Below are 7,860 nucleotides of genomic sequence, written 5' to 3' on the forward strand. Positions count from 1 at the left end.
TTTCATTCATCATCCTGGCTTCATGATCTATTTCTGTTCCTCAAACTGCTCCACCTTTGAAGCCAATCTAGATTGGAATAATCAGTTTTGCAGCAGCATTGATATTTTTGTTACACAGAATTCTCAGTTTCTTGGTCTGTAATTGCTCAGATTTCAAACATAAAACAGACTTTTTATTAATGTATCTAATAACTCTTCATTGAGACCTTACTGTGGGCTATAAAGATTGATTTCTGTATTGTTGTTATTGTAACCATGATGAACCATAGTTCACATGTACACTTGTACAATGCTGTAGTTCGAGGCGTTTCACGCTCTTCCACCAGCTCATCTGTGACATGCTTTCTCTTTAGAGAGAAAGCTTCTCTCTGTAGCTCTGGTATATATCTAGTTCACTAATTTGTTGGCGGAAAGAGAACCTTCCAGCGTGAAATCCACCTGAAACAAGACTCCCTGCTATGCAGCAGTTGATTCTGTTTCTTTACAAGTTGAACCATCCAGCTTGGCTGGTGCCAGACTTTTATTGTTTAACCGTTTCAACCTATTGATGTGCGGGCCATTCATGATTGTGTGGTTCACAGCAGGGCTGGTCCCAGGACAAGCCCAGTGGTGACTCAGTTAAAGGGGACAGATACGGAAACAGATGAACAATGCATGGGGTGAGGAGGTGGTGGTGGCAGGGGCAATGCAGGGGAGAGGGCTGGACAGGTGAGGCAGGCCAGAACCGGTGACTCATGGGCTCCCCTTGGTCAGGAGGGCTGGAGCAGGTAAAGCCCGCCCACAGCCGGGGAACCCACACCCAGCACACGTTCTCTCCTGATCTGCTACTCCCGCCCCAGTTTCCCATCAGACACAGGAGCAAGAGATGCACAAAAGCTGCTTCCTGAGCAGCGAGTTGGGACAAAGCCAACAGGTGATCTCAGGGCTTGGCACTTTCCCCATGCCTGAAAGGAGATCAACCATGAAGGTTACAATACAGGTTTAGAGAATTAATAAAAAGGTGTGGGATGGGGTGAGTTTCAAGCTCCAGGATCCAAGTGTTTACTTTCCTAGAGCAACTTCTGTCTGAGCACCCCCCAACACACCCACCCACCCACACACACACCCCTACACATCTGGAATTTTCTCTCCACTTGCCAGTCACCAAATCCCCTCTCCACCACCACTAGCAGCCCTACTCCCTGATTAGCTCGAGTCAGTAAAAAGGCAATGTGGCAGAGGGGCTAAAAGGTTCACCTTTTCCCAGCTCTAATTAGAGAAAAGAAAAGAAAGAGAAAGGAGCTGGCTAAAAAATAAGACTTTGCCTAGACTCCACTAACCTGGCCTTGCAGCTAAAGAAAAGACTATCTTTTTAAAAGGAGGAGGAGGAGGAAGAGGACATGATGACGGGGGAGGAGGGGGAAGAGGGAGAAGGAGAAGGAGAAGGTCCTTTCATCCTTACTTAACCGTAAGACAAATTTGAATCCAGCTGCATCACTTAGTAGCTGTGTGATCTTGGACAAGTTTCTTTACCCCTCTGTGCCTCACTTTCCTCATTTGTAAGATGGAGATGATGGTGATAATGATAGTGGTGATGATGATGATGATGGTGTGGTGTTGATATTTGTGGTGATGATGGTGATGATGATGGTGGTGATGATGGTGGTGATGATGATGGTGGTGATGGTGGTGGTGATGATGACGATAGTTGTGGTGGTGGTGATGGTGATGATGGTGGTGATGATGGTGGTGGTGACGATGATGGTGATGATGGTGATGGTGATGATGGTGATGGTGGTGATGATGGTGATGATGATGGTGTGGTGATGATGATGGTGTGGTGATGATGATGGTGATGGTGATGATGGTGGTGATGATGGTGATGATGATGGTGTGGTGATGATGACAATACTACCAACCTCATAGGATTTGGGGGGAGGCTTGAAACTGTTGATATGTGTGAAACCACAGAGATATGCCTTGCACATAGGAATGCTCAGTGCACTGAGGCCATTCTTTAAAACTCTGGCTGGAAACCCCTTCACACTCCCCAGTTCCCACAGAGACTCCATCTTCTCCCTCTGCTTCTTCCTGCCTCCCTGCCTTGTGTTCTTTCAGAGTCCCTCCTGACTGTGTCTTTTCCCCATCCCCTTTCCCCCAAAAGACAGCTGGGTTTCAATATTAAAATCAGCGCTTTGGAGTCTGACCAAGGTGAATTCATATTCTTGCTCCACCCCATCCTGGCTTGGGCAGGTGCCTGGCTGTCCTCACCTGGAAACTGTGGCCTCCATCCTGCCTCCCAGACCTAGTCACAGCCATGAGGATGCCAGCCAGGAAAGTGAAAGAATGCCCGCCCTGAACAGGAGCTCAACAAATGGAGCCATTCTGCTTCCATGGCACCTGATGCCTAATTCTGCAGTTGCTCCCAGTTTCCCTCTTTTCTTCCACCCTCCAGACCATATTGTGCTACTAACAAGAACCACCACGTACTGAGCATTCGTGCCTTCCCAGCACTGTGCAAAGAATTTTGCTCCTGTAATCCTCACAACTCCTGGATTTGGGTTCTGCCCTCTGCTCCCAGAGCTCTGTCTACATTTCCCAAGGGTACCACTCAAATAACAGCGCATTGCTGTGAAGATCAAAGCAATAGGTTCACAGTGGGAAAAGAAGAGGAAGACATGAAGGGGCACCTAATGGGGTGACCAGCCCTCCAGGCTTGCCCAAGGCTGAGGACCAACCTGAACGGACGGTCACTCTAACAATCCAGTCATCCACAATGTCCAGGATGCCTGAAAATATCTTTTGCTGCTATAACAATGGCTCAGAAACCCACCTGACGATTTTGGAAGGTACTTAACTTCTCTGAGCCTCAATTTCATCATCTAAAACAGGGATAGCAATGGCTACCTCCTCACGGGGCCGCTGGAGAGATAAAAAGGGAAGAAGTGCATCCAGCATCCTCGCAGCATTCGTCTCATGGTGAGCCTTCCTCCACAGGTGTCAGCATCAAGTCCTGGAAATCACACCTGGGCTTGTCCACCTGCCAGCCACCACCCCTGGCCACTTCCTTATTCTCTCCAAATCTCAACTACCCGAACTTAATCAGTTCAAGCCAGGCACAGTAGCTCACACCTGTAATCCCAGCAATTTGGGAGGCTGAGGTAGGAAGATCCCTTGAGACCAGGAGTTTAAGATCAGCCTGTTCCACACAGCAAGACTCCATCTCTACAAAATATTCTTTTTTAAAATCGGCTCAGTGGGGAGATTAAGTAAGTTATAGACAGCTTGTGAAGAAGAAAAGAGGAGGAAGAAAAAAGAGAAGGAAGAAGAAGAAGAAAAGGAGGAGGAGGGGGAGGAGGAGGAGGCAGAGAGAGAGAAAGAAGAAGAAGAAGGCGGCAGAGAGAGAGAGAGAGAAAGAGAGAGTGCTAGCTGAAAAGAGCATTTTGCCTAGACTCCACTGACCAGGCCTCACAGTTTTTAGAAAAAGGAAGAAGACAAACCTCACAGATGCAGACTGGCTGGAAAACCCCAGTCCCTCAGTTCTTAACCACCAGACAGGGAAGTCTTGGCCAAACAATGGTGGAACAGATTCTTTGAGGGACAGACAAGAGACAGAGGGGGACAGAGGGCCCCAGCTTCAGCCTGATGCTTGGGTTTGAAATGTCCAATCCACCAGCACACCTGACACTCCTTGGCAGGAAGAGGACAGAAACCCTGGCAATCTGGGGGGAGGCACAGCCTGTTCACAGAATCAGAAATGTGGGAGCAAAAGTCATGGCCTTTGGTTCAGAAATGCCAAACATCTAATCACCTCCGGCAAAGTCCCTGGCCCAGTTCCATGTTATTGTGACCTCTGAGTCCTGGCCGAGTGCAGGGCAAACTCCACTACCTGCTCGGTGGCCCACGGGTCCCTTGCTCCTGGCACTGGGGTCCTGTTTCTTTTTACCCTTTCCAACTGGGCTATCTGGCAGGGATCAATCAGTCCCCACATAGAAGACACACTGGCAGGGGTCTCCAAGGCCTTTATGTGAAGGTCGGTGGCTTGGACGTTACTATTTTTTCAAATGGATTAAATGCCAATGGCATGCTGAGCCCACGGAGAAATCAGAGGTAGACAGTCGGCAGGCAGGCACTCTGGGGAGATAAACAGATGCGTGGCATTCCACAGCTCTGAGGAAAGATGCCCCTTGAAGCTAGGGAGAAGCTTTTGTCCATGCTGCCACCTTTAGGGGCTTTCTCAGAAATTCCCACTCCTACGCTCAGTGACGGGATCATCAGAGCCTAACAGCTTCTTGGCCATGGTCGTGCACAGCCATCGCCAGCCACCCTGGAGATGGCAGGCTGTGCTGGGACGGCCCTTTGCTCCCTGCACCCCAGGTGCTCCATCATGACAGGGCAGCTGGAGGCAGGAGCAGCCCCACTGTGTTCTTCACAGCCACCCTAGCTTGGATCAGCTGGTCCCTCTCCTGGGGCTAAAGCAGCGAAGGATTTACATCAACCCAGAAGGAAAAGCCACTGCTTTTGGAAGGGGCCAGGGAAGTGCAGCAGGAGGGGTCAGCAGAGCAAGAGAGGACAGGGACCCACCATGATGATGAAACTGATGACTTCTGTTGCCTCCAGTTGATCGCCCCACTCACCCTCAGCACCTGTACCAGCCTGTGCTCGCCTCCCGCTGTTGCAGGTGTGGAGGCTCAGGACACGCGGGGTGGGGGCAGCCCCTGAGTTCTCCTGCTGTGGAGGGACAGCTCTGACAGGAGTTAGGTTCCTACACTGATTTGGGACAATTACTCTTTCTCTGGGCTTCAGTTTCCTCATTTGCAACATAAAAAGCTTGGGTTTGATGGGTTTTTGAAGGTCCTTTGAGCTCTCTGATTCAGCAATGTGAGTGGAGTCTAGCCGGGAATGGCCCCCAAATGTGCGGCTGGCCCCATCTCTGTGGAGGGATGGAGATGGAAAATCAGGATGTGGTGGCAGGGCTGTCTGTGGGATTCTCCTGGGAGCAATGCTCTTCCCCATCTCACAACTCACCCACACGGCCCTGCCAGATGCCCTGGGTCTGCACCAAACGTTCTCCACCCTCACAGCTTACATCCTGGCTCACCTTGCAAATGACTCATGACAGCCGGGGACAGGGTGCCCCAGAGCACGCCCACAAGTCAGTGCCCATCCGCCCCTTCTCCAGGTGCCACTGCTGGGAGCTGTGGAGTTGTCAGCTGTTCCTAAGCCAGGGGCGCTCCTTGAGTTACAAAACCGAGAGGACATGGAAATTGAAATAGGAGAAGCAGCCAGTGGGGGCCAAAGGGCCCCTGGGCAGCTATGGAAAGACAACCCTGCCAGAGTGAGCACATTATTTATCAGCTCTCTTGGGGAGACATATATGGTTATAAACAGAACCTCTTCCTATCACAAGACATGCCTGCCAGCCTTTTCATGGATCACCAAAGCACCCCCAAGCTTCGCGCTTAGGGTGATTGCCAGGCATGGGAAACACCTAACAGTTGCATGTCAGCACCGAAGGAAGTGGGATTCAGACAAAAGGTGTTCCATTTCACAGCAGGGAGGAGGGAACGCCTTGGAAGAAAAAAGTCTTTCTTGGGGCTACCCAGCAAGCCCAGCCAGAGCTTCTCAGCAATCAGGTGTGCATTTCTGGAGCCCAAACCACTCATTCTCAACCCAGGAACGGGATTAGGGGACTAGGGATATTTTGAGACCCAAAGAAAATTGACCCCCTACAAAAGAGCCCAAAGTGTTCCCAGCATTCTGCAAACCAGCATCTGGACTGCGAGGACATGAGGGCTGCATTGAGTCGGGGGAGAAGGAAGGCTGGCCAGTTAGGAATGACATCATGTGGCCACCGCTAAAAAACAAACAAACAAACAAAAAAAAAACAAAAAAAAAACGCACTCTGCTGTTGAGAGCTGGGGCATAAATGCCACGGCAGTTGCTGGGCATTTATGCCCCAGCTCTTAACAGTGGAGTGGGAATGGATCTCTCCAGGTTGGATCGAGTGGCTGCTTTCCTGGAAACCAGGCTCCTGGTTGCTAGGGCCGATAAGACAGGGAAAATGCTACACTCGGTGTTCATGGGAAAACATTTTGATATTGAAGAAGAGCTGAGACGTGTTAACAGTTGAATAAAAACAGAGCAGCCCTGGCTCAGGGGCTGCAGCTACCCGCCCGGCGGGCACTCAGATTACCCACGTGGTGTGCTGCAGGCAGTGAGTCAGACCGTCCATGCTCCTGAGACTGAGGGATGACAATCCCAAAAGGACACACCACCAAATGTGGCTCCTCCAAGTAGGTCCAAGGACCTGGCCTCTACTCCAGATGGCTGTGGGCCCCTGCAGGCCTCTCACTGCAGCCAGCCACCCCGGCACACACAGTGACTGTGGACGCTGATAGGCAGTGTCATAAGGCTGTAGATGGGGAAAGGGACTGTACAGGCGAATGGGGGATGCTCTGTGGCAGGGCACAGGAAGCCCCTAATGGGGACAGATTCTCCACTGGCAGGTGTGGCCAGAGGGGCACTGGCCTTGGAGCCTCTGTTTGTAGCTCTGTGCTGGGGCTTGGGGCACAGGGCAGCCCTCAAAGGGAAATGGTTTTAGTGGTTCAGGAAATGAAACCCTTTGGCAGAGACCCAGAGCTGGCCTGACGCACGCTGCTTTCTGCCCTACAGCAAACAGCGTGGTAACAAGGTGCCTTTAGGTTTCCATTTTAATCCACTAAGCCAATGCCTTGCCTGAGATTTACAAAGTTTAGACCCCACATTGGAAGATCCAAATGTCCCTCATTATCTGCCTCCCACAAGACAGCTACGAATTTTCCCATACGTAACTAATAACTTCAGTTTTTCTCTGCTATTTCCTACTGGTCTCCACGATCTCTCGGGAAAAGCGTGAGAGCACTGAGCTCAGGATGGCTGGACCCAGCAAGGCCTGAGGGTGGGGCTTAGGGCCACAGTGCTGCCATTGACCAGTGGTGCTGGGAGCCGGGAGGCCCAGTTTTGTTTTATGCGCCCGGCTGGGCATCACTGCCCCAACCAGGGAAGCAGAAATCAGTGAGTCCCAGCTACTTCTCCGTGATGCTCCTCTCACCACAGATACTCCTGAGAGATTGGATCAATGAGTCCCAGCTACTTCCCTGTGATGCTCCTCCCACCGCAGATACTCCTGAGAGATTGGATTGTGTTCCGGAGGGGAGTGGGAATAATGGACAGAGGAGAGAGAAGAGAAAGGGAAAAGAGAGAAGGAGAGAGGTCTGAAGCCAGCAACCCAGCGGGGTAAGGCAGAAAGTGGGAGCACAGAAGGGAAGACAGAGGGGGCTCCCCACCCGGCAGGAGACGACCCGGCATGCTTAAAGTAGAATGCAAAACACAAGTTTTGCATTGTTTAAAAGGAATATTGTGAAAGAAAAAGGAGGCCGGGTGTGGTGGCTCATGCCTGTAATCCCAGTTCCTTGGGAAGCCGAGGCGGGTGGATCGCTTGAGCTTGGGAGTTTGAGACCAGCCTGGGCAATACGGTGAAACCCTGTCTCTACAAAAAACACAAAAATTAGCCAGGCATGGGGGCACGTGCCTGTAATCCCAGCTACTCCGGAGGCTGAGGTGGGAGGATCAACTGATCCTAGGAGGTCAAGGATACAGTGAGCTGAGATTGAGCCACTGTACTCCAGCCTGGGTGATAGAGCCAGACCCTGTCACGCCAGTAATCCCAGCACTTTGGGAGGCCAAGGTGGGCGGATCACGAGGCCAGGAGATGGAGACCATCCTGGCTAACACGGTGAAACCCCGTCTCCACTAAAAATACAAAAAATTAGCCAGGCGTGGTGGCTGGCACCTATAGTCCCAGCTACTTGGGCGGCTGAGGCAGGAGAATCGCTTGAA

Source organism: Homo sapiens, chromosome 6 (assembly GCF_000001405.40).
Source record: "Homo sapiens chromosome 6, GRCh38.p14 Primary Assembly".
Classification (NCBI taxonomy): domain Eukaryota; kingdom Metazoa; phylum Chordata; class Mammalia; order Primates; family Hominidae; genus Homo; species Homo sapiens.